Source organism: Homo sapiens, chromosome 9 (assembly GCF_000001405.40).
Source record: "Homo sapiens chromosome 9, GRCh38.p14 Primary Assembly".
Lineage (NCBI taxonomy): Eukaryota > Metazoa > Chordata > Mammalia > Primates > Hominidae > Homo > Homo sapiens.
Genome location: NC_000009.12, coordinates 67,073,407 through 67,092,702, shown reverse-complemented (window position 1 = coordinate 67,092,702; position 19,296 = coordinate 67,073,407). Strand labels below are relative to the sequence as shown.

General features: G+C 39.5%; 2 pseudogenes across 1 annotated transcript in view; both read right to left on the bottom strand.

Annotated features, from left to right (window-relative positions):
* Positions 1-19,296, bottom strand: part of CNTNAP3P2 (CNTNAP3 pseudogene 2) — a 237,697-nt pseudogene that overhangs the window by 204,454 nt on the left and 13,947 nt on the right. Inside the window, exon 2 of the transcript NR_111893.2 lies at positions 9,901-10,011. The product of NR_111893.2 is annotated as a CNTNAP3 pseudogene 2 (transcript). The remainder of the gene's footprint in view (positions 1-9,900; positions 10,012-19,296) is intronic.
* USP12P3 (USP12 pseudogene 3) lies at positions 4,415-4,957 on the bottom strand (annotated as a pseudogene).

Here is a 19,296-nt window from a genome sequence, read left to right as displayed (position 1 = left end):
AAGGGAGGGAGGGAGGGAGGGAGGGAAGACAGAGAAAGAAAAAAGAAAAAAAAGAAATGTAACAGAGACCTTACATGGTCCACAATACCAAAATCATTTTCCATCTGTCTCTTTACAGCAGAAGTTTGCTAACTCCCATGTTTAACTTTTATTTTTAATTGATGAATAATAATTGTACATTTTTATGAGGTGCAATGTGATGTTTGGATACATGCATACACTGTAAAATGATCGAATCAGGCTAATCAACATATCAGTCACCTCAAATATGTATCATTCTTTTAGCGGTGAGAATAGTTAAAATTCTCTCATATATTTCAAAACAGACAACACTTATTAACTCTATTCACTATGCTGTGCAAAAGAACAACAGAAATTATTATTCCTATCTACCCAAAACTATGTACCTACTGACCAACATCTCCCCCTTCCCTATCCACCCTCTCCTCTAGCGTCTGGTAACCACCATTCTACTCTCTACTTCTGTGAGCACTGTCTTTAAATTCCACATGTAAGTGAGACTATATGGTATTTGTCTCTCTGTGCCTGGTTTATTTCACTTAACATAATGTCCTCCAGGTTCATCCATGTTATCACAAGTGTCAGAGTTCCCTGCATCACGGGTTTTAACTCACACCTTTGATGTACTTGGCTCTAGTAAGTACAAGCGTGGGGAAAATGTAAAACTCTTTTGGTGCAAGCATTCTGCATCATGTTTCAGACTTTCAAAGAAAATTTTAAGTCATCCTCAACAACATCTCATTAATTTGAGGCTAGAGAAGATACTGACTATAACCCTGACAAAAGCCACTTGAGCAAATCCGTCAGAATCATTCTGCAGGTATAAATTTTTAAATCACAAACTCATGAGGGAAAATGTAACTTCATTTCTCCATAACCCAGAAAGCTTTCTAGTAGGAGCTGGAATTCTGGCTGATACAGAGACTGGAAGTAGTCACAACAGGTGTCTCTGTCCAGTTAAGGGATAAGCCTGTCAGTTCGTGTCTGTATTGGTCGCAGACCCTTGAAAATTCCTTCAGGGGTTCTTTTACTTCCCCTTCATCCCCAGAGTTAACTCTGGTCTCTTCTGGCTTTGCTAATTGCCTTGGTAAAGCGGGGAGGGGAGTGTGTTCAAGCCCCAAGTAGAAGTCAGCACTGCACTGTCCTCAGGGATGGCGACCTGCTGCCGACGGAGCCAAGTCCTCCCATCCCAGGCTGGGACAGTGCTCTCCACAACGTTTTGATGAACCTTTCTCCTCCCTCTGCCAGACCTCAGGCAGGAACATGGTCTTGCTCACCTGCCTTTGGTACCTCAGGGTGTCCTTGGATAACTGGGGCTGTCCTCACCGGCCACCAGAGCTGCCACAGGGCATCCAGTCCTGTCACTGAATGTGCCGCAGCACAATGAGGATGCCGTGCAGGCTGCTCTTGGAGACTGGCGTTCTCCTTTCCACTACACACTTGAGAGCGCCCACTCAGATCCCTGAGCTTCAGTGAAGACTTCTATTAAGCCACCACCGGCAAGGCTCTGCTTGAGAGCAGAGCTTCAGGGCAGTCCCCACCTCTCTATGCATCCTATCGTGCAGTCCTGCTGAGGGTTCCTAGTCTGCGAGATAGCAGAAAAATTAAAACACCTTTAGCCTACTCAATTCCCTTTCAAACTTTTTCTACCTCAGACCAAAAGATGCTTTTGGACTTCAGAAGTGAAGATTAATGTCTTGGTTCACAGTCTCTGCAATGATCCCCTTTTCTCTACACAGAAGACTCAAGACAATCTGAGTTAGGAGCAAAGACGGAGGTCTGAGGGCACTGGCGAAAAATTTCAGTGAGCTTGGAAGCAGGGTCATTTATGTTAATTGTACATGTCATCCCACACAGAAATGGCCTTTATAGGAATTATCAGTGTCGTGAAGAAAGTTTTTATTTCCATTTTTAAACCTCATATCCCCCCATCAAAAGCTCCCATCATGAGTTTCTGGCTGACTTACGCCAGGACTCACAGAATGATTCATCCCTACATGAAAAAGTATTTTCACCAGCCTCAAAGGTTTTCAGGAATTACTAGATCAAAGAATTGTTAAAGAAACTTTCCAAAAGCTCATTCTACTTGCCCCTCCAAGCAAAATACTAACTTTGTGATGGATTTTAGACATTCCTAGTCCGTAACAGTGGCATGAAACTTTTTTTTTTTTTAATAGAGACAGGGTTTTGATGTTGCCCAGGCTGGTCTCCAACTCCTGGGCTCAAGGTGATCCAACCGCCTCAGCCTCCCAAAGTGCTGGGATTACAGGCGTGAACCAACGTGCCCGGTCCCGCACAGAAGTTTTTGATGTTAGGTGTGCCACCTTCAACGATGGCTGTGTGGATCCAATATCTGCTTCTCTTTCATTCATAAAATTTACCAAGTTCACATTGGAAAACATTATTCTATGGTTATTCCAGAAAATATTAGATTATCACCGTTTTGTTTGAAAACTGACGGAAAATATGACATCATGTTCCCATCTGGCAGGAGTGCACAGCAGGCATGGAAAATGGGGATGAGTGCGTCCAAGTTAGTTCCAATTTTCAAACATTCGTCCCGCACCGCCTGTTCAGTTGCCTGGGTAAAACTGCCCCACGCAGAGAAGCTTTTACCCCAGGTTAATAAAGATGCTTTTTATATTTGTATTTGAGTTGTGGTCACTAGCAATGTTTTCTAGTCCAGATTGTGAAATTTGTATTTGTTACTATCTTTGTTTTTATACCTCAAAGAACCATTTAGAGTCACTGATTCATTTCCATAAAGCAGGAACTTTCCAAAATTTAGTAAGAATAGCTAAGTACAAATCTAAAAAAAAAATTACATACTTCAAAAACTAAAAATGCATTCACTGAGATGCCTTATATCCTAATTAAATATTAGCTGAATTGTAATTGATCTTACATTTTGATTTTGTGAAATATATATTGCCTTTACTCCAAAATTTACTAGACCACCTTCTTACGTATGGCAGTGGGCATTAGGTGGCTTGTGAATTTGAGAACTGCTCTATGGGGTTAGTGTCTGAGATTCATCAACTGAGCATGGAATAAGAAGAGAATAGCACTTTAAAGAACATTAACTGAGGACTTTGCTAAGCATTTATTTAATTAGGGAAAGCTTCAAAAGTTGAAGTTCAATCATGGGACTTTCAAAATAATCCAAGTGAGACATGAAGAGACTAAGCTGAGGGGGAGATCCATGGAAATGATGTATTAGAATCATAAGCATGAACTGTTTCAACAGACAATACACAGAATTTGGAAAAACGAGGGAGTGATATCTCTAAGATTTTTTTCCACAAATCAACATTCATACATATTATTTTGTATTCATATACTGTGATCTTCATGGAGTAAGGTGCTAATGTAAAAAAATTGATTATTGGAGTTTATAAAAGCAACTTTTGACCATTTTCTGTGTGTGTGTGTCTACATAGCAAACTTACTTCCTCAGAGAAGCAGAAACTCTTTGTCTTACTGACACTGGAATGTATCCTCTGTAGTTTTATTCCATGAAAAAGATAACTAGGCTGGGCGTGGTGGCTCACGCCTGTAATCCCAGCACTCTGGGAGGCCGAGAAAGGTGGATCACTAGGTCAGGAGATTGAGACCATCCTGGCTAACATGGTGAAACCCCGTCTCTACTAAAAATACAAAAAAAAAAAAAAAAAAAAAATTAGCCGGGCGTGGTGGTGGGTGCCTGTAGTCCCAGCTACTTGGGAGGCTGAGGCAGGAGAATGGCGTGAACCTGGGAGGTGGAGCTTGCAGTGAGCAGAGATCGTGCCACTGCACTCCAGCCTGGGTGACAGAGCGAGACTCTGTCTCAAAAAAAAAAAAAAAACCAACAGCAAAAAAAAAACAGATAACTAAGACTTTGGCCCTACAATATTTACACTCTGCATGGAAAACAACCCACCAAATATGTTTTCTGTACTTACTGAAAAACCACCAACTATGGTTTCATATTCACTGAATACAAGTAAATTAATGAAACATTTTCAGGACAATCAGGCACAGATTGCTATTTTTTCTATTGAGTTGAGATAATTATTTGTGCTAATAATAGAAAGAAAGTGTGTATCCACTCCTGGAAGGCTGTGTGCTGTGCTATAAGAGAAGCTGATGCCTCTGCTTCCCCATCTTTGTTCTGTGGAGCCACACAGGCAGCCTGATACCTGGGCAAATGCTTACCTGCCCAGATCCGAAGGGCTGGTGCACCCAGAGTCGTGGCTAGGTTGTGTGCAGCACAAATTCCCACCTCTAGTTTCCCTGCTTTACTCTTTTCCTAAGAAATCAGAATCTGAGCTTTTTCAAAATAACTGGAGAAGAAATGAGGCAGAAAGTATCTTTTTAAACACAATCCTCATTCACTCAGAAAATTGAGAAAAAAGTTCTAAGTGATAATTGATGTCAACCTGTAAAATTTTTCAACAGCTTGAGTGTCTATTTTCTCTACAATATTGTCATCAACTCATAACCAAATATCACAAATAGGCAGCATAATGGCCTCATTAGGGCAGTTTCCACAGTGACCCACATCATCAACAATGGCATGCATCTGTCATGCATCTTCCCAGAAAGTCCTAAAATTCTACAGGAAAAACCTCTTGGAAAGAAAGTTTCGAATGTTGATGAGGTCCACCCATATAGTTAATCTCTTCAGGTGAGAAGCTAGAAACATAAGACACTTCTTCGGTTTCATCCATTTTGTAAACTCATTTGCTGAAATGTTCTTCACAGTAATATCTGTGTTCACTGCATTGTTTCCAAGTATTTAAAATCCCTGAAGAAGTAAGTAATCCATGTGTTTTACGCCATTTCAACAGAAATGTCTTAGGCAATGTTTATCTTTGCTGCTTACAGATCCCCAAATAAGACAGCTTGCTTCATTAGTGAAGGCCCCTTGAAAAAATTCTCAAACTCTCCTTCGGTCTAATGCATGGTTAGTTATTGTACATTCATTTTGCAACTTTAAAAAGGAGCAATTGCAGAGGTCTCAAGCCACAAATAACAATGCTGTCTAACTTCGTTAGACCATGAAAACACATGGGTTATCCTTGCAAAAAAGCATATATATTTTTTAATTTATTGCAGTAGCATCTTGAATTACATCTATCATGAGAGAATATAAAATCTTTTTCATGTTTTTCACACACTGTCATAACTTATTATTGTTTTCCATTATCTTAATATTCTGCTGTCTAAGAGATGTAGCCCCTGGGTGACCTGAAAGTCTGGTGAAGCTAGTATGATCAGGGATATAATAAGACAGTGACCATCTATGGACCTTGGACACAATACTAGAGAGCATGATAGATGTGTGTGGGCCATAATGATGTTGATATTAATATGCTATTAATTCCTCTCTGACTCCAGTACATCATCTCCACCTTGTCTAGGTTTTGCATTTCCAAATACTTGCCCTTTCTCTCTTAATAATTCTCCTTAATATCCCACATTCCTTTAACCTGAGGTGGAAAACTCATAAGTGGGGAGGGAAATCCTAAAACTCACTAGGTGACACAATACACTAAAACATTCCAGCTTGGGTCAGCAGACATGTTACAGCTACAGACTCTTATGTTTTCTCTCTTTAGACCAAAGAGTTTATCTTACACTCATCATGTGTTGGTCTGTGAGCGGCCAAGACAACATTCAATGAGCAACCAGCAAACCCTCCCTTATGCTAGAATGCTTACTTATGGGGATACTAAAAACACTAGGTCTGTTATAGTTCTACTTGGAAACTTCAGATGCCTTTTCTTCTAACTCTGAAATTTTAATAAGATGGAAGAAGCACTTTCTGCATAATTGTTTATTTAAAACTAAATGCAATTCCAACCCAGAAGAGGCCTCTTTTGGACAAGACTAGTCAAGTTACAGATGAAGACAACAGTGTCTTAGCTGTCAGTGAGATAGCCCTCTTTGATCTTGGGGAATTCTGAAGGAATTTCTCATTTCAAAATAAGAATAAATACTTTTGGGTAAAGGGAGGAGAGAAAATTCTTCAGGTCACCTTCCATTTTTTCCTTATAAACAAATTACAATCAGTTGACCTCAGCCTAGCATTTTGATTAAAAATAACTCAAGACAGGACTGAAAGAAAACACCAAGAAGAGTGTTTTATCCTAATCTTAGAAAGGCATATTCATATGACAACCAGCATAAGAAGCAAGGAATCTGAATTACAGAAAAATAAACTTTAAACTGAAACTGCTAATATAATAAATGCAGAGGAGACACAGGGCAGCAAATGCACAAATAAATGTATGTCTTTAGCCAGTATGTGAATGATACCCAAAACGGCTGGTTTTCCATCTCAAACAGTCATGGAATAACAACTTCACAGTGTTTATTAATTGTTGAAATTGTCTAAAACAAGAGAATATATTTTCACAAATTCATCTGACACAGACACAGCTATAAGCACATGAGAAGACAGGCCTAAGGAAAAAGGTAAAATTAATTCACCTATGTCTGTATTTGTCAACTAAACAAAGCATCAATCCATTTATTATAAAGTATAATAAAACTAAGGACAACCATTGCATAATTAAATTGCCTCTGAAAGCCAATTATTGATTATGGAGAAAACCAAGTTTTACAACTGTATGTGTGTATCATATAAAGATTTCATTTCCTAATATAGATCATTCATTATTTATTTTGAAATGTTAAGAATTTACTATGTGCCAGTGTATCATTTGAATTCTCATATTTTAAACATTTTAAACTATAGGTTAATTTTCTGAAATTTTCAATTAGTGTCAGAAGAAGTTACAGAAAAAGGAATAACAAACATGTTTAAATAATTAAATGGTTTCAATGGCATCTCTGAATTTCTTTGATATTATTATCAAAATGTTTTCTTCAATTCTACTCAAAACCTTATTTTTTTGCCCTAAGTCTTTGTCAGCTTATTTCAGTCTTATTTTTACATGTAATATACCACAGAGTTCTTCTTAGCTTCAAGTGATGCAATGTGAAAGGTGTAGAAATGCACACTGACCCTTAGCCTCTTAAATTTACAACAGGTCGGCCAGGTGCGGTGGCTCACACCTTTGGGAGGCCGAGGTGGGCATACCACGAGGTCAGGACATTGAGACCATCCGGGCCAGCATGGTGAAACCCCTTCTCTACTAAAAATACAAAAATTAGCCTGGTGTGGTGGTGGGCACCTGCAGTTCCAGCTACTCGGGAGGCTGAGGCAGGTGAATCACTTGAGCCCAGGAGGCGGAGCTTGCAGTGAGCCGAGATTGCACCACTGCACTCCAGCCTGGCAACACAGCAAGACTCCATCTCGATAAATAAATAAATAAATAAATAAATAAATAAATAAATAAATTTACAACAAGTCACTTTATCCTCAAATTAGCCAATACCATGTTAGAGGTTATACTGAAATTCTAACTATGAAGATGTAGAAAGCAAAAACATATTTAATTAGTTATAATCCAATCTGTGCAATATTCATGATAATACATTTTTACAAGTTGAAAGTAATTCTGGATTATGCTTCATAACTTATGAAACCTTTGGTGGAAAAATTGAGTCTTCCCCATTAAAGGGAATTAAATAAGTTGCTTATAAAAGTGCATTAACTTGTTTGGCCCATGGGTTCATCATTTAGTGGCATGGAAGAACTAGTTTACTTGTGGTATCCAAGAGGCATGAAGAAAGACACCTCCAAAAAGTCCATTTTGACTCTTTACACTGGGACAGACGGGATGCATAGCTACCTTGTTCCCCTCTCACCCCTCAGGCTAAGGCTTGAGTAACTATCGCAGCTGTTTCCATGGCGTCTTCCCATCACATGGGAAGAAGGCACTGGGCTGCACAACAGGGAAACTACTTGTTTTCTGCCTGTTAATTTTTAGCTCTGAGATCTTTACACTCCACTGGAGAAAGGCTTTAATGTCTGAGACAGGGGGTCATTATTTGTTAGTTTAATTATTTATGATCAGAACATTTGTTCAGTCACTCTTCCATAGACCATTCTGAATCTAATAAAGGATATGAAAACACTAGAGATAATCTATAGCCTTCAATAAATCACTCCCAATTTGGAACTCCTTTGATGAATACTCCAGGCTACCACGAGGGAGAAGAAAAAAGTCAAAACCAATTTAAAAAAGCAACAACAATGAATTTGTAATAAACTTAGTTGATAGCTAACTAAAGTAAGCCTGTTTTTCTAACTTCATTAACATGAAAATAAATTTTATTAAGATTGATATCATGCTTTTTTGCACGATGAGTTACAGGAACATGAACTAAGAATAAAAATGATCCCTAAGATAAAGAATCCTCATAATCATGTACTTTAGTACAAAATATGATTTGACATCAAGAAGAGCTATGGCTTGAGATTGCTCTTGTTTTCCTTTACCCCCTGTGCCCAGGCTTAGTCACTGTTTCAGTGATAATGACCATCCACTGAGGCTCTGCAGCAATAGAATCTAAAGTAACGAAACAGAGCCCATATCTCTGCAACAAATGAAATCACAGACTTAAGAAAAATAAACAGAAAAACGAAAAGTTAAATTGTTTATGTTTCATAGCCATACTGCCTATAACAAATGCCAGAACATATTTATTTGGTCCAATGTGCAATGCATTAAATGTGCTCAAATACAGAAAACACCAAGAAATGCAACAGGGAGTTAAAAAAAAAAAAAAAAAAAGGCTGGGCGCGGTTACAGGCTCACGCCTATAATCCTATCACTTCAGGAGGCTGAGGTGGGTGGATCAGGAGGTGAGGAGATCCAGACCACCTTGGCTAACATGGTGAAACCCCGTCCCTGCTAAAAAAAAAAAAAAAAAAAAACAAAAAATTAGTCAGGCCTGGTGGCGGGTGCCTGTAGTCCTAGCCACTTGGGAGGCTGAGGCAGGAGAATGGTGTGAACCCAGGAGGCAGAGCTTGCAGTGAGCTGAGATTGCACCACCGCACTCCAGCCTGGGTGACAGAGCGAGACTCCGTCTCAAAAAAAAAAAAAAGAACAAGGGCAATAAGAAAATAGGAAAGCACAATTATATAAAATACAGTAGACACTTTTGAATCTTTTTAATATATGCCTACAAATACATTTTATTAATAGTGTAAATTTAATTTCCTCTGAGAATTTATTCAAAGAAGTTCTATCTGAGTTTGTGCTCAGAAAATGCCAGGATGATTCCTTGTCACAATGTATTTGGTGTTTAAAGTTCCCTCTAATTTACACAGCAAGACAACATTCAATTTTCTACACTTCTGCTTAAGCATATGTAAAAGAAACACACTCCTCATGAGATATGTTTACAAATATAAATGGAATAGTCACAGTGGAGCATGAATAAACCATTACATGGTTATTTCTCTACAGTGGATGCTAAAGAGAGAATCAAGTCCACCATAATAAGAAATAAACTAAGAGTTGTAGTTAAAACATAATAAAAATCTTCTTAAACGCTTCTTTACTTTGCCAATTTTCTCATCCAAATAGGGATAATTAAATAATCTGGGACAACAAAATGTATACTGTGGCAGAACAAAAGAATCCAAGGTAAAAAAAAAAGGACATGGCAGAATCTAAGGTCTTTGATAAATAATACTCAGATATTGCAAGGGGTATACAAAGAGTTCAAACACTGTCAAAGTCAGGTGTGACTTGTTCAAGGCACACAAAGATCATACCAAGGGAAACCCAGCAGGACAAGAAAGCCGAAGTGATCAACTTATTCCTGTCAAATACATTCTTGGAGTTTCAAATGTGAACAAATATGCTTATTCTGAATTTTACTTCCTTCTGCAAAGTATTAATCAATTATAATTATTTTGTTAAATGAAAATCCAATGAGAGTCACCAAGGAGCAATACAAGGAAAAAGGCAGACTCACCATCTCTTCGATTAAGCCTTGAAAACCCCGGGCCGTGGCTGCTGGACAGCTCTGAGGAGCTGCTGAAGGATGACCTAGGCAAGGCAGAGGCCAGTGGGGCATCACAGTCAGCTGCCAGGAAAAATACCGTGATATGGTTAACACTCAGATTGCAGCTTGGGAGAAATAATAGTCCAAAAATATATATGAATATATTCTAGGATGTATGGCAATCATCACTCCTTTTTTAATTCTTTACAATTTTTAAAATTTACATTGCAGCATAATTTACAGAGAGTAAAATTCCAGAGAATTTATTTGATGTTTTTAAAGTGTACAGCTCTATTCATTTTGACAAATGCATTCAGCCTTGTAACCTCCACCATAATGAAGACATAAAACAGGTCCATTAGCCCTCAAAGTTCCCTAATGTCCCACATTTTCTCAATTCTGCAAGATGTCTGGGTACATCACCCATCCAACACTACTTTAAACTCAATTTGATGCTTAGGTTCTTTAGGTACACACATACAGAGGTAGTGTGAATTCTGTGCCCAAACCTCAATAGCGGCTAGAAATTCTCACAGTGCCCCAGCACAGAACCTGTGGGGGATGGGAAAAGTGAAATGCACCAGGTGTTCAGGTCAGAGTTACCTGCGTGAAGCCAGGACCCATGAGAGGCAACACCTGTAGTGATGAACTGGAAAAAGCCCACTCTGTAGACCCCTCCAGAGGGAATTACTGCGGGCTACTTGCCTACAGGAGATGGAGGCTCCTCCTTTTTGCCTGATAACTTGAGCATTGCAGGAATTTGCTCTGCCTTTCCAACCCAAGGACCCCTGCATGTCACCATGTCACCCTCACCTCAGGGTGACTCTCTATTGCTTCAGCTCTGGTCTAAAAGAATTGCTGGGGGTTAAGTAGTGTTTGACCCAGATCATCTTATTTGTCCTAAGACCATAAGGACCCTCAGAGCCTTCTTGCCCCTGGTGTTCCCCACCGTCAAACTTGAGGAGCCCCTGGGACCATTCCCACCTTGGGTAGCTCTTTTCCTATGCGTAGCCATGGGTAACAGAAGCAACCCAGAGGTTACCTCTGAGTCCCGCAGTCCAATCCTGTAATCACTGTACTTTCAGGCATGTCATATTATTTTCTCATAAAAAGGGTACCTCTTCCAGCATGGTTATTGATCTAATAATGTTACACATAAGTTTTCTGTCACACATTAAGATATGTCTGTGAAAGAGGAATGTTATACCTTGAATATATCATTAGATGATTCTGAACTGCATATTTTGGATACACTTTTTTTCTTTGTGAGCAACTTGTTAAGTCACAGAAAGAAGGCAACCAGAATTAATTAGATTGCTACGACTTAGCAAAATGTCAACTATGTTCAGTGAGATAGATAAGAGGTAATTCAGGGTCTCTCCTGATTTGTTTGGTTGAGTACATGATACTGCAACAACAGAAAGAAAATTCAGTGCACATAATTTGCCTGAGTGAATATCATTTCATAAAGAAATACTGGAATTATATCTGCTTTTCTAAAAGCATGCATTGCCATTAAGACAGTGACATGTCTTTAAGACATGACAAAAGAAAAACTCAGTAACTCATTGTGAAGCATCTATTCTACAATAGGGAGAACAGTATCTCATTGCTTGGTAAAACATTCAGAGTATTTGATATAGGAACATTTTTCTATATATTCCCCATAAGTGACAATGTCACATTTATACAGGTGAGTCAGACACTGGAATTTGTGATTTTTTACATACAAAGAGCAGCATAATCTAGCTAAGAAATTGCATTTAACATCTTTAGCATGAAGAGCACCCAATATTTTTACACAGCAAGAAGCCATTGAAATGTGCAGAGCTGTTAAGAAAGGTTTGCTTTCTCTACGCTTTCCTTAAATGTCCCCCTCAATGTTTATGCCACAAGAGAGGCTTTCTTGATTTCCCCAGCACACATGCTCTCTGGATAACACTGTGCAGTCGGGATTCCCAGATGTCAGCAAATATGCTACAGAGTGGGCTAAGAAAAATAGATAAATACGAATCCAACTGGCTACGAACTTTACTTACATTTTCTAAAAAGGCATTTTAAAACTGTGAAGAAGCTAAAGTACAAGAAGGCAACTAAGGCTCTGCTCCATCTATAGACAAGTCCCACATGGCCCACGAGTGGTCACAGCAGGATCCAAGAAGGAAGGACATCATCCAGGGAATAGTGCCTCCTAAGCCTGTCTGCCTGATGTTATTTTCTCTCTATTTTCTGGGAAAGAATAAAACAAATCCAAGAACATCTAAAGTAGCATTGACATTTTTTGGATAAAATCTCTTCCTACATTAGAAAAGCATGATAGCTGTTCTCATGATGCCTCTGTCCTGCAGTATCATGCAATACATAAAACAGCACTGGGCGTTTCACGTGTCCCTGGATTCCTGCAGTATCATGCGATACATGAAACAGCACTGGGCATTTCACATGTCCCTGGGATTCCTGGCTGACATGTCTAACTCTCTCTGTGGAATCATGAGCTCTTGAAGGCACAATAAAAGTCTTTCCCAACTTCATGTGCTCTATACCTAGCGCAGAATCTGAAAGATAGCACATGCTCAATAAACTTCAACTGAATATTTACTAAATACGTAAAAGAGAATTATCATTAACCAATACACTTAATTAAACTTAGTCTTCCTAAGTTAGCAGAGTACAATTTATTAAAGTTCAAACACAAGAGGCCTAGAGGTATCAGATTCACATCTCTAATAAAAATAATAACCAGATCTCAAGAGAAGGTTCTAAATAGGTGTAATAGATAATAGTTATTCTTTCCCTTGGTTTCTCCCTAATTAACTTTCCAATTGTGTGTTTCATGAGTTTCAGATGATTTCCAATAGGATTAAGGTCCAAATATAAATCTGTAAAGACAGCTGGAAACAAAATTGCTGAAATTTTCCATTTCGCCTTTGGAAAATTCAAGAGTCAATAGCATCTGTCTGCCAAAGAGTCACCTTGTAATGAAGAAAATTTCTGGCACAGGCTTGAATAAATCTTGCCCTTCAGAAAGGCAATAAATTCGGGCGTGGTGGCTCACACCTGTAATCCCAACACTTTGGGAGACCAAGGTGGGTGGATCACAAGGTCAGGAGATCGAGACCATCCTGGCTAATACGGTGAAACCCCGTCTCTACTAAAAATACAAAAAATTAGCTGGGCATGGTGGCACGTGCCCATAGTCCCAGCTTCCCAGGAGGCTGAAGCAGGAGAATCGCTTGAACCTGGGAGGAGGAGGTTGCAGTGAGCCCAGATGGTGCCAGTACACTCCAGGCTGGGTGACAGAGAAAGACTCCGTCTTAAAAAAAAAAAAGAAAGAAAGAAAGGCACTAAATTTTATAAAATAAAAGAACATAAGAACATATCTGGTACCTAAGTTTATTGTTTTTTCCCTATCATTTTGAATTCTGTAAACACTTTCTTTCTAGAAAGAATTGTACACTACTGAGTCAGAGGGGAAAATACAGTGGGCACCCCACAAGTGTTACAGGGGCTGGATCTCCCTCTTCCTCAGCTTATTTGGAAATCTGGTTAAGATTCACTATATTTCCATGTGCTTGGCTCAATATAGAGGGTTCTAGGGTCTTAATGTTACAAGTATTGATTATTTCACATTTATTCTCACCATCTAAAGGCAGAGATTCATTGCTACATAGGTATATTTTATATTATTGTTCTCCTAGAAGATCATGGTTGAAAATGATATAAAATGTTTTATTCAGGGTTATTTTATATCTGTTCAAAAATGGTGGACTTCCTTAAAAATCACCTGTGCTGAACTGGGTAACAGCTGGATTCATATTAAAACTTGCAGGTTTGAAGAAGAGAAGCATTTGGAAAATGCAGAGAATAAACACAGTATGGGTTGGTGACTTAGCTGAAGGCTCAACAACGGTTGAGAGAGAAGTAGAGATAAACCCATAGAGGATCCCACCTGCCACCTTCCATGCAGCCACCTCAAGTGACAACTTTGAAGATGCACGCTAGACCAGAGGGTTTTTGGCTTGCTGCACTTCCCTAGGCTTGTTGATTTAGTCTCGGCGATTAGCTCTGCCTAGGTTCCTCTCTCCCCACTCTATGGTCTTGGTTTGTCCCCTGACCCCTGCCTGGCATCACTCTTAGCTTTCCACTTCTCCTTGACAAGTATTCCCAGCATGCTTTGTGATTCCCAGCATGGTGCCTATGAACGGTTTGGGACAGAAACCATTTCTTAGTATTATGTTCATGAAAGACAGCAGAAGATTAAAATTAGCCTAAGGGCTTCCTGTATACAAATCAACATTGCATTCACAGATGTGCTAGTTTATGACAATTTTTACCACATGAATATGAAATGATTAAAAAATCAATTTGAGGAATTGCCCTTACCTAAGACAGAGATGATATACTTTTCAAAACAGCGTTTCATTTATGTTAATTCTTGCACTTATTTAATAAAAGTGTATTGAGCACCTACCATGTGCAAAGCATTATGGGGCATAAAGAGAGACATAGTTCTAGGTTCAAGAAGTCCAGAATCTAACATGGGAGGGAGATGTGTAAATATCTGTTATAGGAAATAAACAGAAGAGCAAAATATTTAGATACTACTATTTATTCCAAAACACAGGGAAGCATCTTAATTGCTTAGGAACAAAACCAGCCTCTGAAAGAGCAAACAGTACTAGGGAGAGATGCGTATAAAAGTGCTTCTGGAAAAGATAAACATAAACCATGCATTTTCAAACAGCAATTCATTATTCTGGGATCTGATAATAAGAATGAAAAAAAAAAAAGAATGCATGGATAATACATGGACAGATTTTGTCCGTATCTGCAGAGGAGATGGGAAAAGCCAAAAGGAGGGGCGACAACTGATCCTATGGGGAGGAGCTTTACATTCAAATGAGGACACCTCCTGGCATCTCCAGATGGAGCTCCGAATTCATTACAGTATTACTTAAAGGATTTTATTAAAAGACCAAACCACACTGCACTTGTGGCTGAATGCCTTTATCAGAGATGAATCTTACATGTGTTAGGACAGGCTGACAGTGGCTCCCAAAGATATGTCTATGCCCCAATCCCGGGACCCTGTGAAGGTTACTTCAGAAGGTAAGGTTCTCCAGATGTGATCAAAGACCCTGAGACGAGGAAATTATCTTGAATTATCTGGCTGGGTCTTAAATACCATCAGAACTGCCCTTGTAAGAGAGATAAAGGTGATGATGAACAGAGCCCCACACAAAAGAGAAGAGGGTGTGAAAATGGAGTGAGGCACCCACAAGGTGAGGCACACGGGCAACCACAGGAAGCCGGAAGAAACGAAGAATGGATGTCCCCCTAGAGCCTTCATAGGGAGTGTGGCCCATCTTGATTTTGGACTAGGGATACTGATGCGGAACTTCTGGTCTCCAGACTATGACAGAATAAATTCTTTTGCTTTAAGTCAGCCAGTTTATGGTCATTTCTCACAAGGGCCATAGGAAATGAACACACTGTTTATATGGAATTACATATTGGATATTTTAGGGCAAATGCAGGAGAGTTCCACTGAAAATACGATTAACATCCTTTTGAATCGCACAGATACTCAATTCCTTCTGAGAAGGGCTTCATGATGCTAAGCCACTCTGCCAGGCTGTGGCTCTCCCCATGCTTGCGGCTGCACTTGCTCCTCACTGTGAAAGGAGCTAAGCACTGTGTCGGCGGAACCTAACGATGGAAGGAGAGGGGAAGGGGCCACCGAATTGCTAATATGAGGGGACGGCACCTTAACAAGCTTCGAATTATCAGAAAAACACAAAGCCTATTATTAAAGAGTTCAACAGATGGTTACTGTGTTATCACAGATGTACAGAAAACCTCTTTGTTCTAAAAAAAGAAAAAAGAAAAAAAAAAAGATTCCTGTCCTTTCTCAGACTGTCTCGATTAGGTCAAATTCACTAACTCCACAGCAGGCTTCTCTCTGGTTCCACATATTGAGTCAGCAGGGAGCACAGCCTCGGGAATCGAATCACAAACAGGGAAGGGGGTGCCCATACCTTCTTCAGGCCACGTCTGGATGTTCATCTGGATACGGCGCTATTCCATTCTTCCCATTTCATCACCTGTCTTTTCAGTTCTTAATGTACCTTAACATTATCTTAATGAGAGGTTAAATAATGCTTTTATTTAGAAGGTACCAAAAGTTCATCTTGTTATGAATCTGAATTGATCTGTGCATTGCTATCTAGAGGGAATGCTTTGGAAAAAGTACATTTTACTCACAGTGAACATAAGCAGTGATGGTCAATGTAAAAATCTACTTTTTTCCATATAAAAACTTCTGTTTTACATGGTCTTGATCTCCATTCGATTATCTTCAGTCACTGTCTTCCCTACATCTCACTCCATGGGGTCTGAAGGGGGCTCACCCTACCACCTGGGGCCAGCACAGGGACACGCCTCAGGCCTGGCAACTGAATGCCATGCCTGTCCTACTGGAAAGGACTGGTTCCAGGATGGTCAGGAAGCCCACGCTGAATGAATGGGAACAGAACCTGGGACTTTCGAATGAATAACAGCAGAACCTGGGACTTTCGGCTTGAACTCTTGGAAGAAATACCCATTCATTCATTCAACAAATATTTGTTGAAAATCTATACTGTGCCAGGTGTGCCCCTATGTTCTGGGGATATAACCATAAACAACAGAAAAAGTCTCTGCTCCTGTGAAGCTTATCCTACTGAGTAGAATAAACAAATAAAGGCATAATATCTGTAGAACTCAACATTGCTAAGAACAGAAATAAAGGAAAATAGTCACGCTCCTAAGCTGGTAAACGGTATGCCTGAAGCTAAGGCATAGACAGAGCTGCCCAAGAATGAGGCCAGTTGTAGATGAAAATAAAACTGCAAGAAGGAAAGAGGCAGACTGCTGATGAAAGAATCTGATTGCCTAAATTCAGCCTGGCTTCAATCAAGACACTTTGGTTCCCTTTATTATTCAAGCCTATTTGATCTTAGATTTTGGTCACCTGAAACTGAAAAATGCTCAATAAGTACACTGTCCTGAGCCCCCACCCTTATCTTCCCTTTACAGCCAATAAATTGACAAGGATTATGTACTTTTTGTGTGTATATGGCAGCTTTTCCATTATCATGATCATCATCTCACTGTAGGTCCTCATGTTAATGACCTAACTAATCCTTACAGCCAATGTTTCCTTATTGACTGTCCCCAGCCACACACACACCTTACATATCACCAGAGCAGAAACAGTTTTAAACTATTGCTGAGTGCAAGTCACACAAACAGCCATATCAACCAGCTCCAATGGATCCCCACTGCACCTGTCCTGAAATTCAAATTTCAGGTCCTGGCATTCAATTCCTTCCATCACCTGTTCCCTGTCACTCTCTGCACTACAGCCGAATCCCCTACACATTTCTCAGATGCGCTTCCTCCTTTAATTGGAGTGGTCTTCTCACTGTTTCCTGAATGTGGGATGCATGCACCAACGCTCCTTGACCGCTCACCCGATGACATTGCAGCCCCTCCTGTCTGCGAGTTCCCATCACTTATTATCTTCAGGGCTCAACTCAAGTTTTGTCTCTGCTCTGAAGTCTTCTCACATGTGTGAAGGCCCCAGTAAGGCTTACTCTTCTGAAATACTGAGGTCTGTCTCATGGAAAATGAATTACACCTCTGGAGAAGGAGCAGCACCTCACTCACAGGGAGCCACACAGCAGCCACGTGCGGCGGCAGATGGGGATGAGAGGGAACAGGAGAACCTCACTCCCAAGAAAGGAGCCTTGCCTGCTGACTGATGATTCTGGGGTGAGGAAGAGAGACTGGCATGACCAGCTGATGAGTGTCTGGTTCCCGGGACATGACAGACAATTCCTACAGTCTACCTGTGGGAACAGATGAGGCTTGGAAGAAGACACATAGAAACAGGTTTAAATTCTATAAATTAGAATTTACAGGGGGTAGGAGATAGGGGTTACACGTTGTCTCTCCTTCCAGATGACATTTTGACTTGTTAAAGAAAACCTAGCATAGGAACATTGAATACCTCCTGACATTGGTGTTTTCAAATGACTTACAGCACTACAAATATAAAGTTATAACAACAGCATACCAATTTTAACATACCAGGACCAAGGACTTTATTCTATGAGAACTACAAAAGACACAACACAAATGAAGACCTAGAGGAAAGTTTACAGAGTTTTTTTTTTTTTTTTTTTGAGACGGAGCCTCGCCCTGTCGCCCAGGCTAATTTTTTTTTTGTATTTTTAGTAGACACGGGGTTTCACCATGTTAGCCAGGATGGTATCGATCTCCTGATCTCATGATCCACCTGCCTCAACCTCCCAAAGTGCTGGGATTACAGGCGTGAGCCACCATGCCCGGTCAAGTTTACATAAATTTAAGCATCTTAATTTGACGATCTACTCTACAGTCATTACAACAATAAATATAAGAACTATTTAAACATGTGGAGAGATGAAGGAGATGGGATGGGAAAATCTGCATATGAGAAGATAATGGACAAAGAGATCTGCTGGATTGAGATGAGATAATGGGTGTTAAATCCAACAAACACAGCTCTAGAAACACAGAAGGGATTCAACATAGATCAGCTCCTTTTCCCTGAGGAAGCTGGATAGATGATCTTGTTCTCTTTCCTTTTATTTCTAAATTTCTTGCTATGTAGTTAAATTATACTTCTGTGATAAATTCAATACCAATTTTTAAACTATAGATTTTTGGCTAAAGTATATAATACGAGAATAAGACGAACCTATTTTTTTGAGACTTACTGCTAAGTAGAAAGAGAGGAAACCAAATAACAAAATTAAGTCCTGCAGAAAGACATCAGACACGACACAGAAAAAAATACAACAACACAGGTGCATATAATTTAAAAAGAAAATCATGTGGCGATGTCATCACTAATAATTGTTCTTACGAATGTATCCACAGCTGTGGGAATATAAGTGATAAAGATGAACTGTTAATAAAGGGCAATAAATGATCTTTCCACGGGTACAAAAAAATAGAAAAAATGAATAACACCTAGTATTTGATAACACAAGAGATGACTATAGTCAATAATTACTTAATTGTACATTTTTAAATAACTTAAAGAGTGTAATTGGATTGTTTGCAACGCGAAGGATAATTGCTTGAGGGGATGGATACTCCATTTTTCTTGATGCACTTATTTCACATTGCATGCCTGTATCAAAACATCTCATGTAGCCCATCAATATATACACCTACTATGCAACCACAAAATTAAAAACTAAAAAAATTAAAAATAATAATAATTCTTTCTATGCACCTCTGAGAGTTGACAGAATTAGGGTCTGAATGAGAATA